The sequence below is a fragment of the Homo sapiens genome, chromosome 3 (genome assembly GCF_000001405.40).
Source record: "Homo sapiens chromosome 3, GRCh38.p14 Primary Assembly".
Taxonomy (NCBI): Eukaryota; Metazoa; Chordata; class Mammalia; order Primates; family Hominidae; genus Homo; species Homo sapiens.
In genome coordinates this window covers 73103255-73122570 of record NC_000003.12, presented here as the reverse complement: position 1 = coordinate 73122570, position 19316 = coordinate 73103255, and the positions used below count along the sequence as shown (strand labels likewise).

General features: G+C 44.9%; 1 long non-coding RNA gene and 1 pseudogene across 1 annotated transcript in view, besides 2 other annotated features; both read right to left on the bottom strand.

The window, feature by feature from the left end:
- The window catches only part of LOC107986098 (uncharacterized), a 222236-nt gene that overhangs the window by 194899 nt on the left and 8021 nt on the right, over positions 1–19316 (bottom strand). The window contains exon 2 of the long non-coding RNA XR_001740754.1: positions 8235–8349. This is a non-coding gene — a long non-coding RNA (uncharacterized LOC107986098). The remainder of the gene's footprint in view (positions 1–8234; positions 8350–19316) is intronic.
- Positions 11135–11696: an enhancer, noted in NCBI's record as "NANOG-H3K27ac-H3K4me1 hESC enhancer chr3:73160026-73160587 (GRCh37/hg19 assembly coordinates)". NCBI's record gives its function as "activates a minimal SCP1, AML or CMV promoter by ChIP-STARR-seq in naive and primed H9 embryonic stem cells {active_cell/tissue: H9 hESC(naive and primed)}" and the evidence as "EXISTENCE:reporter gene assay evidence [ECO:0000049][PMID:30033119]".
- On the bottom strand, positions 11392–11577 carry RNU2-64P (RNA, U2 small nuclear 64, pseudogene; annotated as a pseudogene).
- Positions 11697–12259: an enhancer, noted in NCBI's record as "NANOG-H3K27ac-H3K4me1 hESC enhancer chr3:73159463-73160025 (GRCh37/hg19 assembly coordinates)". NCBI's record gives its function as "activates a minimal SCP1, AML or CMV promoter by ChIP-STARR-seq in naive and primed H9 embryonic stem cells {active_cell/tissue: H9 hESC(naive and primed)}" and the evidence as "EXISTENCE:reporter gene assay evidence [ECO:0000049][PMID:30033119]".

The following is a 19316-nucleotide window of genomic DNA, read 5'->3' as shown; positions in this document are numbered from 1 at the left end:
ACTCGTTAAACATATTTTATGTGCTTACTGGCCATATATATTATATATTTTTATATATATAAATAATCTTTAGAGAAATATCTGTTCAAATCTTTTGTACATTTTTAAACTGGGTTATTTGTCTTTTATTGTTGAGTTGTAAGATTTCTTTATGTATTCCAGATACTAGTTTTTTATCAGATATATAATTTGAAAATATTTTCTTCCATTTTATGAATTGTCCTTTCAATTTCTCGATGGTATCCTTTGAACCAACTTTTTTTTTTAAATGAAGTTCAATTGATCTAATTTTTCTTTTGATGCTTGTGCTTTTGGTTGGGGATTTCTTTTAAGTGGCAAAGCCATAAAGAAGACAGGAAATTTTGAATCACTCATAAATTCTATAAAGGCTGCCTACTTGATGTTATGAACAGTCACAAACCCTTCAACCCACAGTCTGGGGTATGTATATCTTTCAGTTGGCCCACAAAGTAGCTTTGTTTTAATGGAGCTGAGGTAGGAAGTGGGGCTCAACTCCAGAGGCAGGGCTCAGACACAGGAACAAATTGAAGACTAGCTAAAACAGGGATGGGGGTGGAAGAAGTTTCCCATAAGACACACCCACCACTGGGCCATGTCAGTTTACCATTGCCATGGCAACACCCAGATGCTGCCACCCCATTCCATGGCAACAACCCAACAACCTGGAAATTACCACACTTTTCCTAGAAATTTCTGCATAATCCACCTCTTAGTTTGCATATAAATAAAGTAGGTATAAATATGACTATAAAACTGCCTCTGAGCTGCTACCCTGGGCACACTGCCAGTGGGGTAGCCCTGCTCCACAAGAAGTAGCGTCTCTGCTGCTTTGCACTGCCACTTCAATAAAAGTCGCTGTTTAACACCACTGGCTCACCCCTGAGTTCTTTCCTGGGCAAAGCCAAGAACCCTCCCAGGCTAAGCCCCAGTCCTGGAGCTTGCCTATCCTGCATCAGAGCCAAGGTTTAAAAATCTGGAATTTCAGCCTCTACAGAAATATTTGAAAAACTGGCCATATAAGGCCATCTATTCCCACACTCTACAGGAATCAAGAAGTGGCTACCACTTTAGCTGGGCCCTAGACAGTATTTACTATTCTCATTATTATTAGCAGCTGCCTCAGAGCCTCAGAGGCCTAGTTCCTCTCTCTGTATCTTTACAATAAATCTTCTCCTTGTAGTAAATTGAATGCATTGCTTATAACCTACATATTCCCAATAAAATACATAGGAGTATTTTCTTTTAGCAGGCAGACCGTAAACGACATTAATATGAAGGGAAGAGAGAGAGCCCTCTTCCTCTTTACTCTGGTATTTCCCAATAGAGCAGTAGCAGTACTCTCCACCTCCCCTTCATGTCCTACCCTGGGATGGTACAGATGAGGTCTTTGAGGGTGGATAGAAGGAGGAGGCAGGGCAGTGGGCTCAGGACTAAATCCTTGGCCCAGCCCTGCCTCAACTTTTACATTAAACCCAGGAGTCTTATTTTTAAAATGGAAACACCAGCTGCCTAGGTATTCTATTAGTCAGCATTCTCTTGGTTATGGATGGCAAAAAACCTTGCTCAAAGCAGCTCAGGAGAAAGGGGGAATTTACTGGCTCACATTCCCAAATCAGGGTGTCAGCAGTGTAGGCATGGGCCCAGGAATAGCTAAGGCCATGAACTGGAGCTCTCTCGACTTCCCACCCATCTCCTGTCTCTGCATTTCTCTGCAGCACTTCTGCAGTCTCTCTTCCCACAGAACTATCTGTCAAATGCCAGAGATCACAGAGGCCTGACACACAACTCCCAGACTCTCATCCCTATATCCTTGGCCAGAGAAAACAGGGCCTTTTTCTCCCCAGTCCAATTTGAGAAAGTCCAAGGAAAACCTCTGATTGGACCAGCTTGAGTGACCAATTGCATTCACTCATGGACCAATCACAGCAGCCAGGGAATGGGATATTCTCATCGGCCCACCTGGGTAACAGACCAACCCTTCCAACCATGACTCTGGTCAGAGAGATATGGTTCTGTTATTTAGATCAAATGGCCAGGCCAGGTGCAGTGGCTTTTGCCTATAATCCTAGCACTTTGAGAGGCCAAGGCAGGTGGATCACTTGAGGTCAGGAGTTCCAAACCAGTCTGGTCAACATGGAGAAACTCTATTTCTACTAAAAATACAAAAATTAGCTGAGCATGGTGGTGTGTGCCTGTAATTCCAGCTACTCAAGAGGCTGAGACATGAGAATCGCTTGAACCCAGGGGACGGAGGTTGCAGTAGGCTGAGATCGCACCACTGCCCTCCTATAGTCCAGCCTGGGTGACAGTGCGAGACTCTGTCTCAAAAAAAAAACAACAAAAACCAAACCAAACCAAATAAAACAAAAAGGCTAAAGTGTGGCAGGAGGAGGAGAGGATGAGACCGGCATGAGTTGATCACTGAAGGTGTGTAGACATGCCTGGGATGCATTTCTTAATATATAAGAACTATTAGGAATGAATTTTTTAAATGATGGTCAAAGGAAGAATGTGTATCTGGCACTTGCGTTGTTTCAAATAGCGTGCCATTTACTTTTTAATGTTTCTTATGGTCTTGTAGGGTATTCTTTTCCCTACTTTGCAAACAAGCAAATTAAATCCAAGATAAATTAGGTAATTTACCCAAAGTTCCCAAATGGACAAGTGACTTCGCTTCTACTAAGGATAATGCTAAACTCTTCACTTGTGCCACCATTCCATGCTGTTTTGTTTTGTTTTGTTTTGTTTTGTTTTGTTTTGTTTTGTTTTCCCCTGGAAAGACGAAGGTTTAGAAACAGCAGCAGAATTCATCAAAGCCTCTGCTAAGCCCCTCCACCCAGACCTCCGGCCCCTCATGTAGAGGAGATCTCTATAGACCTGGATAGCAAACAGTTACCTGGCTAGTCAGCTCTGACTAATTTAAATTGGCCTAAAACAATAAAGAAAGAAGACATGTGAAGCTGCCTCTGGGTTGAAAGATTTAAAAAAAAAAAAAAAAAGATGCTGTGATAAATCGACAATGTCTGTCATGAGCAAAGGAAAGATAATTTAATTTCACCCCCAAATTACTAGACAAGAGAGTATCACCCTGATTATTTTGACCTCTAGATGATGTTTTTATTTTCTATTGCTATCCAACTTTCCTTTCAACATACTTTGGAATAACATTACTTTCTTTCCTAGCATCCTTCTTTCTGTACCCCCGAGTTCCTGAAATGCTGCCATGGTTAAAACATCATTTATTAAGATCCCCTGTTACTATACTTTGCTCTTCATTCTTAGCGCCTTGTGGCCACTCTGTTTCTCTTATGCAAGTGGGGGTCTTACATTATTCTGTGCACATCTAGCTCCCGCATAGCTCAAAGCATGGATCTGCAGCCTGCAGCCTCTTTCTTATTTATCAAGACTTTCCAGGAAGAGCAGGGTCTTCACCATCTTCACCAGCACAGCTTTCTCATAACCCATGCAATAAATATAATCATACATAAGTAATGCATATACAAAGAGATTCCTTTGCCATTGAAAAATGCACAACTGTGCAGATCCCAGATGCACACACACACATATACATGGCTTCCTAAACCCTATAAAGAAGTGCTATAAACTCCAACTTTTTTAGGATGTGTGTGTATGGAGAGAGAGAGAAAGCTTCCAAATTTATACATTCTACTCCAGTCCATTAGTGAGAAATGGGTGAAAAAAACAGTTATACAGACATATAATAGGATAACACACAGCCACAGTCATCAAACAAAGCAAGCAGTGGATCTACAAGTCCTCGTATGGAAAAGTCTCCACCATAGGTCATTAAGCAAGCAAAGCAAATCGGCCTATGGAAAATTGTCAAAACATAACAAGGGTGTTCAAAGATAATGGGCAGTCACAGATACCAATATCCACCAACAGGGAGCAAAGCAAAGATGTATGAACAGTCCCATTTCTGATAAGACAATAATATATTAGCATATATCTTACAAGTAAATCTGAAGGCCAGGCATGGTGGCTCACACCTCTAATCCCAGCACGTTGGGAGGCCAAGGCGAGCGGATGAGTTTGAACTCAGGAGCTCAAGACCAGCTTGGGTAACATGGCGAAACCCAGTCTCTACAAAAAGATAATAGTAATAATGGTAATAATTTTTTTTTTTAGACAGAGTCTCGTTCTGTCACCCAGGCTGGAGTGCAGTGGTGCAATCTTGGCTCACTGCAACCTCCACCTCAGGTTCAAGCAATTCTCCTGCCTCAGCCTCCTGAGTAACTGGGATTACAGGTGACTGCCACCATGCCTGGCTAATTTTTGTATTTTTAGTAGAGATGGGGTTTCACCTTGTTGGCCAGGCTGGTCTCGAACTCCTGACCTCGTGATCCGCCTGCCTCGGCCTCCCAAAGTTCTGGGATTACAGTCATGAACCACTGCACCTGGCCATTATAATAATTTTTTAAAAAATAGCTGGGCATGGTGTTGCACACCTGTAGTCCCAGCTACTCAGGAGGCTGAGGTTGGAAGATTCTTGAGCCCAAGAAGCAGAGGCTACAGTGAGCCAAGATTGCGCCACTGCAGCCTGGGTGACAGAGTGGGATCCTGTCTCAATCAATCAATCAATCAATATGTGAAAGACTATATGCCACCATAAAAAGTCATAATCCATGGGAAGTGAGATCACGAGAGACGTTTACTTTTAAGGTTATACATTTCTATAATGATTGAATGTTTATTAACAGAAATGGGTTAAGATTTTTTAAAATCTACTTCGTAGAAATGGAGGTGTCATTTAGATTTAAAATTCCACCTGAGGCCTCCCTCAGAAAGAAAGGAGGGAAGAGGGGAAAGAAGAGAGGGAAGGAGGGAGGGGAGGGGAAAGGAAACAGGGAGGAAGAGAGAAGGACTACATTAAGCTCCTCCTTTAATGTAGAATCGTAACCACTAGGATTATTTTCAACTACCTGCATAAACCAAAACTATCAAAGGCTAACTTTTTAAAGTTGGAGATGAAATGCAGCAATGTCCTGAAATATAAAAGGCCCTATATCCAGACACAGCCTCTCTCCCTAAGTGCCTGGGGGAATTGGATTCCTCCTATAGCCTCTCTTTCCCACCTCTCTGAGGTTCCTGAGCTCCGCCTGTGTATGTCAAGACACACTTTTCAGTGTTCCGGTGCAGCCCTGTGGCCTAGCAGAGCTCACATGGCTTCAGTATTTCCATTTCCCGCCTCCCCGCCGGGATGACAGCGAATTCTCTCCCTACACCCCTGATATTTCCAACTGTTGTATCTTGAAAGAGACACTCAGACTATTTGGCCCAACCATCATGGTCAATGGAAACGGGCTTCTTTGACATCTTTTCTCTCCAGATTACTTCTCCTCTGATCACTCCTCATGCCACTGGATCCCTTCGGCCCTTGGACGACAATCAGGCCTCACCTTGAGCCCCTCGGGGAGCCATCCCAGGGCAATCTCCTCATGGCCATCTGTCACATCTTCAGACAGGGCAGAAAGTTGTTCTTCCATCAAGTGGACTATTCATTCCCCTCCACAAATTAACTCTCTGCTCCTCTCATCCAGGTCCCCGCTGTGTTATTGTTGTGACGCGCTCCATCCTTCCAGTCGAGGTGACTTTTCATGGTTTTCCTAGAAACCTTGGTTTGCTACCATGTATGCCTTGATTAAAAATGTGCTGTCGGGTGAAACATACTATTCAGGGGAGGGTTATTTGTTAATTAGTAAAACAAATCAGGTCAAATATTTCTCATAAAGATTTTGCACATCTGCAATTCTGAAATGGCTTACATTTAGCTTCTTAAGTGATTTTTTTTATAAAGAATAAACACAAAAGAAAATCTACTTTTTTTAGACAAGTTCTAGAAGTAGTAACAACAGAGACCTTATTTGTTCCTGTATCAATATTTTTTCACACAATCATGCATCAAAAAAATCATTATTTTTAAACTATTGCTTTTGTTTTTGTTTGAATTTAAAAGTAGGGGCGGTAGGGTGTAATGGTTCATGCCTGTAATCCTAGCACTTTCGGAGGCCGAGGCGGGTGGATCACTTGAGGTCAGGAGTTCAAGAGCAGCCTGGACAACACAGTGAAACCCCAACCCTACTAAAAATACAAAAATTAGCCAGGCATGACTCGGAGGCTAAGAATCGCTTCAACCCAGGAGGCAGAGGTTGAAGTGAGCTGAGATCGCACCACTGCACTCTAGCCTGAGTGACAGAGCAAGACTCTGTCTCGTTAAAAAAAAAAAAAAGTAGGGGCTACCTAGGTGAGAGAGGCCATTTGACCCATTCTATTATTTGGGAAGGCTTTTTGCTTTGGACCATCCACCCAATATTTCATAAAATTCGGATGCTTTTTGGATAAGAGGTCTTCAAACACAGGGTTTACTCCATTTATACAATACCTCTTTACCTGTTCCTAAAATTATATGGGCAAGTTGCTCACCTCTCTCATGGGCCCTGGCTGAGAGCAGGAGCCTCCTGTCTTTATTCACTGTAGCTCTCTTAGCATGGTGCCTGGCAGGCAGGAGCAGCTCAATGTGTGCTGCCTTAGTGAACTGCCATGTGTTATGTTCTATTTTTATTCTTTTTTTAATTTCTTATTTTTAGAGACAGAGTCTCACTTTGTCACCCAGGCTGGAGTGCAGTGATGCAATCATGGCTCACTGCAAGCTCGACCTCCTGGGCTCAAATGATTCTTCTGCCTCAGCCTCCTGAGTAGCTAGGACTACAGGGGTGTCCTACCACACCTAGCTAATTTTTTTAGTTTTTATAGACACGGGGTCTCACTATGTTGCCCAGGCTAGTCTTGAACGCCTGGACTCAAGTGATCCTCCCTCCTCAGCCTTCCAAAGTACTGGGATTACAGGTATGAGCCACCTCACCCCGCCATATCTTTATTCTTGATTGGTCTTCAATCAGGCCATGGCTCCCCCCAGCCTTGAGGAACTGGAACGGACAGACTGTGTCTCACTTATCTTTTTATTCCTAGAAACTGGCACAAAAGCCCTTAACACTTTAAAATTTTTTCCAACCTCCAGCTATAAGCCAGGCATTGTGGAAGATACAAAGAGAAGAAAGGTAGGATTGCTGCCTGTGATAACCTGCCTTTTATTTATAGTAACAGTGATAAAAATGACTCAAATGCAAATGTTTAATATGAAACTGTGTTAATGCCACGCATACATTACTTCGTTTCATTCTCCCAACAGCCCCTTGATAGAGGGTGTCTTCCCCACCCCCACCCAAACCCGCAATTTTACAATCAAGGAAACTACAGCTCTGAGCAATTAAGGAATTTGCCTTGGTTCTAACTTGCTGTCAGCTAGAGAGGGCAGAGCAAGGATGCCCACCCAACACAATCAGGAATATTGAGCAATACTTGGCAGTGTGTGGTTTCACACGCAGGATGATGGGAGGGCCAAGAAGGACACACCATAATCAAACAGCAGTGAGGGCCACTGTTCCAACAAAACTGCTAGGGTTGCAAGTGACAGAAATGGAAATCCAACTCAATGTGGCTTTAAAAAGAGAGAAAGGAAATTCATTGGCTCAGTACATGGAAAAGCCCAGCCATCTGAACGTAGCTGGATCCCAGATGCTCAAACAATGTCAGGAAGGCTCATCTCTAAGCCTGGGTTCCACTTTCCTCTGGGTTCCTTGCCAGGCAGGCGTCTGCTCTGATGATGGCACAGATGTCACCAGCTCCAGGAGCACATCTTGCAGCTTAGCATCCCCAGCCAAAAAAGAGGGCATCATTCCCGGGAACTCCAGCAAAGTCCTGAGTCTGACTCTTATCCCAAGCAGACTGCTGTGTGTGTGACTGGCCTGGGTCATTTTCCCACCCCAGTCAATGTGAATGAAGTTGTGGATCAATCTCCCCAAGCGGACATGGACCTCAAGAGGAAAGGATTAACCCCAAGGCACTGGCCACCAACAGGCAAAGATAGCACAATTCAACTCTGGCCACCATATTTGTTTAGCTTCTCTCCCAGCCTGATACAATAAAATAACATTTTAAAATTAAATGTTAAGTTAGTAAAAGTAATTGTTATAAATTAAATAGTAAAAATTAAATTATTTCCATTTAAAAGATGTAAATAAAGAATATAAATGAAAATTTTAAATATATGAATGAAATAATTTTTTGAAACTACGAGCAGCTTTATGATAGGCTGGCTGTGAGCTGTAAACTAGAAAGGGAGAGAAAGTTACCTGTAAATTTTTCTTTGTCCACAAAAATAAAGGCAGATGTCTGAGTGAGCACCAGCAAATGCTACAGAGGCACTTCTTATTCCAATGGCTGGGAAATGGTGAATTAATCAAGAATCTGTCCAGATGAGATACAAAAACAAAAAAATATATACACAATATTTTTGAAAATAAACATTTTATTGTAGAGTGATTTTAGATTTACAGAAAAGTTTCAGTGATAGCACAGAGGGTCTCCTTATACCCCTCACTTGGTTTCCCCTTTTTTTTTTTTTTTTTTTTTTTTAATTTGAGACAGGATCTCACTCTGTCACCCAGGCTGGAGTACAGTGGTGCAATCATAGCTCACTGCAACCTCAACCTCCTAGGCTCAAGTGATCCTCCCACCTCAGCCTCCTGAGTAACTGGGACTACAGGTGCACACCACCATCCCCAGCTAATTTTTTTGGATCTTTTTATAGAGATGAGATTTTGCCATGTTGCCCAAGTTGGTCTCTAACTCTTGAGCTTAAGTGATCCACCCGCCTCGGCCTCCCAAAATGCCAGGATTGCAAGTGTGAGCCACTGCCCCAGGCCAGTTTCCCCTGTTATTAACATCTTATCATGATTTGTCAAAACTAAACTGACATTGGTACATTTCACCAATTTTTTCATTCATATCCTTTTGTTTGTTCCAGGACCCAATCTAAGCTACCACATTGCATTGAGTCATCATGTCCCCACAGTCTCCCATGTACTGTGAGATTTTCTCAGGGTTTCTTCATTTTTTTATGACCCTGACAGTCTTAATGAGTGCTGGCCAGGTATCCTGTAGAATATCTCCCATTGTGGGTTTGACTGATGCTATTCTCATCTCATCTGGGGCTACATACATAACATTTTGTTTTAACTTCAAACATATAGATTATCATCACTAGCCAATATTTTGATGAACGATGAATACCTTTAAGGATGGGTTCCCTAATTGGAGTTGCACATCTTCCTTGCATGAACCACAGCCATAATGTACCATCTCTGAATTCTGGATTCAAGTTCTTTGAAGAAGCTTTATCAATTAAGAATGCTTTGGGTTGCAATTAAGAATGGCTTAAGCAATGCAGATATTTAATAATCTTATATATCAAATACTCTCCTCTCTCTCTCTTTTTTTTTTTTTTTTTTTTTTTTAGACAGAGTCTTGCTCTGTCGCCCAGGCTGGAGGGCAGTGGCGTGATCTTGGCTCACTGCAACCTCTGCCTCCTGGGTTCCAGTGATTCTCCTGCCTCAGCCTCCTGAGTAGCTGGGATTACAGGCATGCACCACCACACCCAACTAATTTTTTTTTTTTGTATTTTTAGTAGAGACAGGGTTTCACCATGTTGGCCAGGATGGTCTTGAACTCCTGACCCAAGTGATCTGCCCTCCTCAGCCTCCCAAAGTGTTGGGATTACAGGCGTGAACCTGGCCCCAAGAAACATTTTTAGGGGAGTTAGGAAGTGAGATGGGGAAGGAAGGAACCCGTCCAGATGGCGTTATCAGGCCAGCTACCACTGTAGGCACCCGGAGCTTAACACTGCTGGGCAGCTCTGGGAAGCAGTGCAGAGCACACCCCAGAGCCATCACGCCAAGGGCAAAGGGCTGGGGGACTTATACAGTGGCTCCTGCCAGTCATCTGGGAGGCAGATCTGGGGGTGGGAGGGGGGGTGCTAATTCTCCAGCACTTTGGGTCAGAGTAAGGTGTGTTTGTTTACCTGAGTCAGAAAATCCTCAGGTAAAAGGATGCCAGTGTTGGCCGTTGGAATCAGGCCTGTGTGCACTGCAGTGCAAGGCAGAGAGGATGTGGGCTGGGTCTGGGCAGTGTCCACTGTAGTCTTTTTACCTGGACAGTCTGTTCTGTCCAGCACTCAGCACTCCTCTCTCCCCACCTTCTTGAATCATTGAGGCCCATCTAAGCTTACTCCCTCCTTTACTCATATCCCTGATCAGCAGGTAGTGCTGTTAGGACAGCGTAAATCTCACTTCTTATCTGTATTTCTCACAGAGCCTAGCACAGTGCTTTGATGGGTAGAAGCTCTCTCAGTTGACCCCCGTCTAGCTTACTTCCCGATTAGCTGCTGATGTACAGTCCCTCAGCGAAACCCCTACCTGAGGCCCCTCGCTCACCCAGGGCACAGGCACCCCCTACACCTCCCTGCTGCTGACTCGGTGCTCCCCTTGAGTGTCCTGCGTTTGTGCCTAAACCTGCTTATGTCAGCTGTGATATAATTTACAATAAATCAACTAAATTAAGTGCATTGAATAATAAATGAATTAAATTGAACATTATGTCATCTGATTAGACACAAGTGCAAACATGGTCTTTTTTTTTTGACACATGGACATGTATGTTTATTGTAGCACTATTTACAATAACAAAGACTTGGAACCAACTCGAATGTCCATCAGTGATAGGCTGGATAAAGAAAATGTGGCACATATACACCGTGGAATTACTACGCAGCCATAAAAAAGAATGAGTTCATGTCGTTTGCAGGAACATGGATGAAACTGGAAGCCATCATTCTCAGCAAACCAACACAGGAACAGAAAACCAAACACCGCATGTTCTCACTCATAAGTGGGAGGTGAATAATGAGAACACATGCACACAGGAAGGGGAACATCACACACCGGGGCCTGACGGCGGGGTTGGGGGGCAAGGGGAGAGAGAGCATCAGAACAAATACCTAATGCATATGGGCTTAAAACCTAGATGACTGGTTGGTAGATGCAGCAAACCACCAAGACACATGCATACCTATGTAACAAACCTGCACGTTCTGCACATGTATCTAGAACTTGAAAAAAAAAAAAAAGAGGAAGAAGTTCAAGTCCAGGCTGGGCCACACTGGTGGACCCCGTTCCTTTAAAAGGTCACCACCACTCGACTGCCAAGCTGAGATCTAAGGACCTCCAAGAAACATTGAACACGCTCTCTCTGCATGCAGATACAGAAACGGGTAGTCTCGTTTTGGGTTCTAGTCTTCCCAAAGTGCTGTAGACACAGCGAAAATGGGAGTGCCGAAAAGTCCACCTTATGTCCGCAGACCAGGAACTTCAAGGTAGTTCAAGGAATAGGAAAACCAGCATATCACAGATACTAGGTGTGCAAGCTACTCTGCAGTGTTCTTCCCTTCTAAAGGGGTGCACAGTTCGTGGAGCTACTGCAATACCAGGTCGATGTGTGGAGTGGAGAGAGCAAGCTCCTATTCCATCTCCCTGCTCCAAAAACCCATTTAATATATTGTCCTCGGATAGAGAACATATCAGATATTAAACTGATAAGAACAGTTACTAGACTTGATCTTAGCCCAAAGGTCAAGAAGCGTTACCGTTGCTTTCGCCCCCGCCGTCACCGTCCCACTCTCATCCATATTAAAGTCGCGGTGAGAGCCCCAGCCTCGCTCCTTGCCTCATTGCCTTTGTCTCGTCCACACCACTATTGACGCCATTACACACTCGGGCTGATTTCTTATTCTCCACGTTTTAAAAGGGAAATCTTACACCTGTGCTTGTTCCGGCGTTCCCGGGCTTTCATTTCGAGTTTGCATGCCCCGTGCTTTCCCACAGAGCGTGGCCTCCAGGGTTGACTCCACCCCCGGGGCCGCCTCCTCGTGGGGAGACTAGGCTCCACTGGGGTCGACTTCCTTGTTTTTATGGACCGAGAGAAAAGACAGAATTGAAAGAGACTGAGGGCTAAAGCGAGAGGGGTCTGTGGAAGACACCTGTTGGCGGAGAGCGGTCCACGCAAACATGGTCATTTTTAAGAAAACTAAGATAAGTGCTTTGGAAAGAAAATTTGCTAACAAAATTTGCTGTTAAATGGCTTTGAAGTGCTTTTAGGTTCACTCTTCTTTGGCAGACACTGTTGACTGGGTAACTCCACACCTTTTTCCCACCCTTTTCTTCCTGATCTGCTTCTGCTACAGATGCTGGAAAGCTAAGTGCATGAATTCCCAAGCTGTCTTCGTGGCTGGATATGTCTATGACCCACTTCTGACTAAAGAGTAGCTAAAAATCTGATGGGGAAGGGGGCAGTCTGAGAAAAATTGCTTTCCTGATATAGTGGACAGATGTACTTCAGCTTTTTCCTGCCTTGAATATAGATGTTATACCCAGAGGTGCAGCAACCATTTTGTGATCATGAGGCTACAAGCCAACATTGAAGACTAATAGAATGGAAAGAGAGACAATGCTTGGGTCTTTTGCGGAATCACGGAGCAACATTGATGTTGGAATGTCTCCCTTTAGACTAAGATGCCCTCGGCTGGGTGCGGTGGCTCACACCTGTAATGTTCCTAACTCCCGCAAAGATGTTTCTTGGGGCTGGGCGCGGTGGCTCACGCCTGTAATGTTCCTAACTCCCGCAAAGATGTTTCTTGGGGCCCGGCGCGGTGGCTCACCCCTGTAATGTTCCTAACTCCCGCAAAGATGTTTCTTGGGGCCGGGCGCGGTGGTGCACGCCTGTGATGTTCCTAACTCCCCCAGAGATGTTTCTTGGGGCCGGGCGCGGTAGCTGACGCCTGTAATCCCAACACTTTGGGAGGCTGAGGAGGGCAGATCACTTGGGATCAGGAGTTCAAGACCATCCTGGCCAACATGGCGAAACCCCATTTCTACTAAAAATACAAAAATTAATCTGGTGTCATGGAGGGCACCTGTAATCCCAGCTACTCGGGAGACTGAGGCAGGAGAATCGCTTGATACCGGAAGGTGGAGGCTGCGGCGAGCTAAGATCGTGCCTCTGCACTCCAGCCTGCATGACAGGGCATGACACTCTGTCTCAAAAAAAAAAAGGTTTTTTGGGATTACCTCCCAAATAAACTATGTAGAGGCAAATCTGCATCACAGGATCTATTTAAGAGAAATACTAATTTAAGACAAAGCATATTAACAGTAGTCACTTCCATTGATTGAGGCTTTAAATATGGGCCTGGTGTTGTGCCAGGCGGCTCACATGCATTATCTCACTCACATTTACAACAATTCCACAAAGGAGTAGCTATGTTATTATGGTCAGGCAAAAAGTTGAGGTTGGCTGAGTGCAGTGGCTCATGCCTGTAATCCCAGCACTTTGGGAGGATGAGGCAGATGGATCAGTTGAGATGAGGAGTTTGAGACCAGCCTGGGCAACAAGGCATAAAAAAAAATCACTACAAAAAAGTATAAAAACTAGCCAGAAGTGGTGGTATATGCATGTGGTCCCAGCTAATTGGGAGGCTGAAGTAGGAAGATCACTTGAATCTGGAAAGCAGAGGTTGTAGTGAGCCATGATCACGTTACTGCACTTCAGCCTGGGTAACAGAACAAGACTCTGTCTTTTAAAAAAAAAAAAAGTTGAGGTTCAGAGAGGTTAAGTAATTTGTTCAACTACACACAGCTAAAAAATGGCAGACATCAACAGATGAATGGATAGGATAAACAAATTGTTTATACACACACACACACACGCACACGCACACAGGAATATTATTAAAGTCTTAAAGGAATGAAGTACTCATACATGCTACAAAATGGATGAACCTCAAGAACATCATGCTAAGTGAAAAACCCAAACACAAGAGGCCACATGTTGTACAGTTACATTTATATGAAGTATCCAGACAGATGAATCGATGGAGACAAAACTGAAATAGTTGCCAGGGACTGGGGGAGGGAGGGAATGGGGAGAACTTGCTTGATGAATGAGTTCACTTTGGGGTGACGGAAATGTTTTGGAACTGAGTAGAGGTGGTGCTTACAAACCATTGTGAGTACACTAAACGCCACTGAATTGTTCACTTTAAAATGGTTAATTTTACGATATGTGAACTTCCTGCTCAATAATATTTTTATGGCAGAGCTGGGAGTTTAAGCTAGGTGACTCCAACCAAGAAACTCTGATGTCAGTGATCCTCAAAGTGCAATCCCAGAAAGCAGTGCAGCATCACCTGGGAAGCTGCTAGAAATTCTCATTCTTAGGCCTCACCTCAGATCTACAGAATCAGAAGCTCTGGAGGTGGGGCTCAGCCATCAGTGTTTTCACAGACCCTCCAGGCGACTCAGATGAGCTGAAGTGTGAGGAGGACTGCCCAGAAATCAACATGAGTCTTATTCTCCGTCACACTCAGCCAATCTCAACCCATACATTTCACGTGAAAATAAACTATTTGTGGGTTCCTTGATATTAGGACTTCAAGGGCTCATGTGGGTGTGAGTTTGAGTGTGTTGAACTCATCACACACACACAAGTTTAGCAGCCAAGCTGGGATCAGGATGCCCTTTCTTTCAAGGTGTGTGGACACCCCCCAAAGCACAGTACAGAGAGCTGGGCTGCACCACCTTGGCAGGGGAGAGGCCTTGGCAGGCCTGATGCATCCATCTTCACCTGACTGTCAGGAGGCTTGGGTGGGGCGGGGCGCCTGTTCACCAGACCAGCTGAGCCCAAACCGGCAAATGTTTCCCCACCATAAAACAGGAGGAGATTCAGGGGCCGTGCCAAAAATAAATCTCCTAAATATCCCCAGGCTCCGCTGCCTTCCAAATCTGTCCCTTTTTCAGTACCCAGTGAATTTACTAACAAAAGCAGTTAGATAGAGAATTGAAATTATGTTCCTTTTTATACTGGGTTTAGAGCTTTAGTTCAATTCCAGGGACAAAACTCTTGAAAAGTAGTGGTTCATTTTAAAAACAAATTCCAATGAAACAGCCAAAATACCCCAACCTAGCACATGGGATTCCCTTTTCAGTGTTCCATGGAGCATTAGTTCCTGAAGATGTTACTAGGAATGTCTGGGAAAAGGGCATGGTGGACAACTGAAGTTGAGAAACGGTGTTTCCTTGACCCACCTTTTGGAGAGTCACAGTGCACATTTGCATATTAAAGGCTCTGAGAGATCCTGCAGCACAAAACCCTGCTTAAGTGTGTCCAACTCAGGCTGTCACAAACTCCAAACTTATTTAAGAGGCAGCAGAGCCCAGCAGTTAAATGCGAGCTCTGGAACCAGCATCTGGGTTCATATCCTGACTCAGCCACTGGCTGTGTGACCGCAGGGAAGTTAGTCACCCTCTCTGTACTTCAGTTTCTTCATTGATAGATGAATATGAAAACTGAACAAGTTCAGGGGGACCTTATGAGGACCAGCTGAGTTAACGCAGATACAGCAAATACAAGGCCTTACACCACTTAGCACATATTCAGTCCATGTTAGATGTGTGTTACATTTTTAAAAACAACTTAATCGGGGTGGGGCGTGGTGGCTCATACCTGTAATCCCAGCACTTTGGGAGGCCGAGGCAGGTGGATCGTGAAGTCAGGAGTTCGAGACCAGCCTGGCCAACATAGTGAAACCCCATCTCTACTAAAACTACGAACATTAGCCGGGCATGGTGGTGCATGCCTGTAGACCCAGCTACTCCGGAGGCTGAGGCAGGAGAACCGCTTGAACCTGGGAGGTGGAGGTTGCAGTGAGCCAAGATTGCACCACTGCACTCCAGCTTGGGCGACAAAGTGAGACTTTGCCTCAAAAAAAAAAAAAAAATTAATCGGTTGATTACAACATCTTGCCAACCCTCGTCCACTGAGCACATTTTTGGAAATGTAAGAGATACGACCTTACCTCTGTCTGAAACACAAAGAAAAGGACAATGGGCTGTTCCTGATAAAAAGGAAAAAGTTTAGAACCAACTGTCCCTTTTAAAGCCTAACTGGATACGGACTGAGCAGCAAGTGTGGATTCATCATTCTGGTGGGAGCCCTCTACCTATATGCCTGCTCTTCCTTTTTTCCCTAGAAGATTTCCCCTGGATATAGATTCCCTTTGGATGGTCTCCAGATATGTAGATAGAAACAACAGATAGGGGCTGAGCGTGGTGGCTCACGCCTGTAATCCCAGCACTTTGGGAGGCCGAGGCGGGCAGATCACTGGAGTTCAAGACCAGCCTGGTCAACATGGCAAAACCCCATCTCTACTAAAAATACAAAAATTAGCTGGGCATGGTGGTGTGCGCCTGTAATCTCAGCTATTGGGGAAGCTGAGGCAGGAGAATTGCTTGAACCCGGGAGGCAGAGGTTGCAGTGAGCCGAGATTGCACTACTGCACTCCAGCCTGGGTCACAGAGCAAGACTCTGTCTCCAAAAATAAAATAAAATAAAATAGGCCAGCCATGGTGGCTCACACCTGTAATCCCAGCACTTTGGGAAGCCAAGGCAGGCGGATCACCTGAGGTCGGGAGTTCAACACCAGCCTGGCCAACATGGTGAAACCCCATCTCTACTAAAAATACAAAAAAAAATTAGCTGGGCATAGTGGCAAGGGCCTGTAATCCCAGCTACTCGGGAGGCTGAAGCAGAAACATCACTTGAACCCAGGAGGTGAAGGTTGCAGTGAGCCAAGATTGCACCACTGCACTCCAGCCTCGGTGGCAGAGCAAGATAAATAAATCTCAAATCTCAAATAAATAAATAAATAATAAAATAAAATAAACAGGAGAAAAGATGTGTTCGTGATTTTTTTCCAATTCTGCCATCTCAGAAAAATGAGTAATTAGCCAGGCGTGATGGCAGGCACCTGTAGTCCCAGCTACTCGGGAGGCTGAGGCAGGAGAATCACATGAATCCGGGAGGCGGAGCTTGCAGTGAGCCGAGATTGTGCCACTGCACTCCAGCCTGGGCAACAGAGCGAGACTCCGTCTCAAGAAAAAAGAAAAAGAAAAGAAAAATGAGTAATGCTGTCTAGGATCTTAAGAAATTCATCAGTGTCTTCAAATGTATTCAAAACATACTTATTGAACTTTTATTATGTGCTAGGCACCATCCTACGACTGGCATTATGGTAGGGAGCAAAACAGATGATGTCCCTGCTTACATGGAACTGTCAAAATGATTGACTCTGGGTTCTGTATTAGCCAGACAGAGATAGGCGGATGGTTGTGCAAATATTCATTATTAAATGCTTATTATGCACTGGTCTTTTGTTAAGCATTTTATGTGTATTATCTTACTGAGTCTTCACAATAACCCTAGGCAGGCATGAGTGTCTCCACCTAATAGATATGAATTGAGACTCAGAGAGTTAAAGCCTTTTGCCCAAAATCACACAGCTGGTGGAGAGCAGTGCTGGACCAGGATTGATTGACTTTAGATAGTTTGACTCCAGAGCCACATTCCACCACACCGCAGCTTTCAAGAAAAAAGAAGATATGGAAATGTCTTGCCTTCACTTCTTTCCTTTTTCTGCTTTAGTGTCCTGATTCCCAAAAAAAAAAAAAAAAAAAAAAAGATATAATAGGGATAATTTAACATCCTCTGGATTATTTTACATTCTTGCAATGATCATGCATTGCCAGAAAAAATATTTTTGGTTTTTTCCCTCAAAGGAGGGATAAATGCTAGTTATAAAAATGCAGGCCAGGCCAGGTGCAGTGGCTCACACCTGTAATCCCAGCACTTTGGCAGGTGGATCACTTGAGGTCAGGAGTTCAGGACCAGCCTGGCCAACATGGTGAAACCCCATCTCTACTACAATTACAAAAATTAGCCGGGCATGGTGGCAGGCACCTGTAATCCCAGCTACTTGGGAGGCTGAAGTGGGAGGATTTGCTTGAGCTCGGGAGGTGGAGGCTGCAGTGAGCCAAGATCGCCCCACTGCACTCCAGCCTGGGCAGCAGAGTGAGACTCCATCTCACACACACACACACACACACACACACACACACACACACACACACACAATGCAGGCCATCTAGAAAGGTATTCATGTCATTCACTCAGTAAAGCTCTGTGCTGCTGTTTGGTGGCACACACAGCAGAAACAGAGGAGGGAGACTGGCATCGTCCCTGCCTTCTTGGAACTGAGAACTGGGCAGGGGAGAAGGACTGGGCATTTCATCTCAATGGGGTCGGGGACCTCCAGGAGAGACATTTGGGGCTGGGAGAGTCTGGCCTTGGGGAGTCAGGGCAGGTTCTCTAAAGAAGTGAAGACTGAGCTGATAAAAGGAGAGGCAGCCAGGTGCAGTGGCTCACGCCTGTAATCCCAGCACTACGGGAGGCCGAGGCAGGCGGATCACAAGGTCAGGAGTTCGAGACCAGCCTGGCCAACATGGTGAAACCCCGTCTCTACTAAAAATACAAAAAATTAGCCGGGCGTGGTAGCAAATGCCCGTAGTCCCAGCTACTCAGGAGGCTGAAGCAGAAGAATCACTTGAACCTGGGAGGCAGAGGTTGTAGTGAGCCGAGATTGTGCCACTGTACTCTAGCCTGGGTGACAGAGTAAGACTCTGTCTCAAAAAAAAAAAAAAAACAGAAGGAGAGGCAGCAAAGGGAAAGTGGGCTGTCAGGGAAGAGGCTTCCCGGTGGAGGAAAGAGCCTGTGCAAAGGTCCTCAGACTACCAGGACCGAGGCTGGAGGAAAGGAGAGATGGCCTGTCGGACCAGAGAGAGAGGGAGCAACTCAGGTTGGCAAGGCAGGCATGGGTCAGACAACATGAGGCCTCATCAGCATATCTTGTGTGGTCCGCGAGGCTTCATCCTTAGAACAATGGGCCCCACTGAAGAGTTACAAGCAAGAGAATGAATCTCTTAGAATCACCCAAATGCCACCACCCAGAATAATAACTGCACATGCCTTGCTGTGTGTCCTTTGCAACTTGGGTCCAGGCACTCGCATTCACAAGCATAGAGCTATTGCCTTTTCGAATGCAGACCCACACGACACAGTCTTTTTTCCAGACTGCTTTTTCCTCTTAGCCATACATGGTGGACATCACTTCAGGTCAATGCTTGCGGCTCTGTGTCATTATTTTAATGGCTGCTTATTGTTCCATGACATTAAGGGATCAAACTTTGGCTCTCCAGCCTCCATCTATGGACATCGGGGTTGTCTTGTTCTCCCTCCCTTTGTGGACACCACAACAGTGCCATCCTCACACATGCACCACTGCAGTTTTTCTTCAACCTCAGCGTGGCTGAATTCCCTTTTCCTCAACAATGTGGTCATCCCAAGGCCTGGCCTGCCCTTGATCTGAAGGTTTAGCATCTGAGTGCCAGTGGGGCTAAACAAGATGTATGGCTTTATTTGGCAGGGGTGAA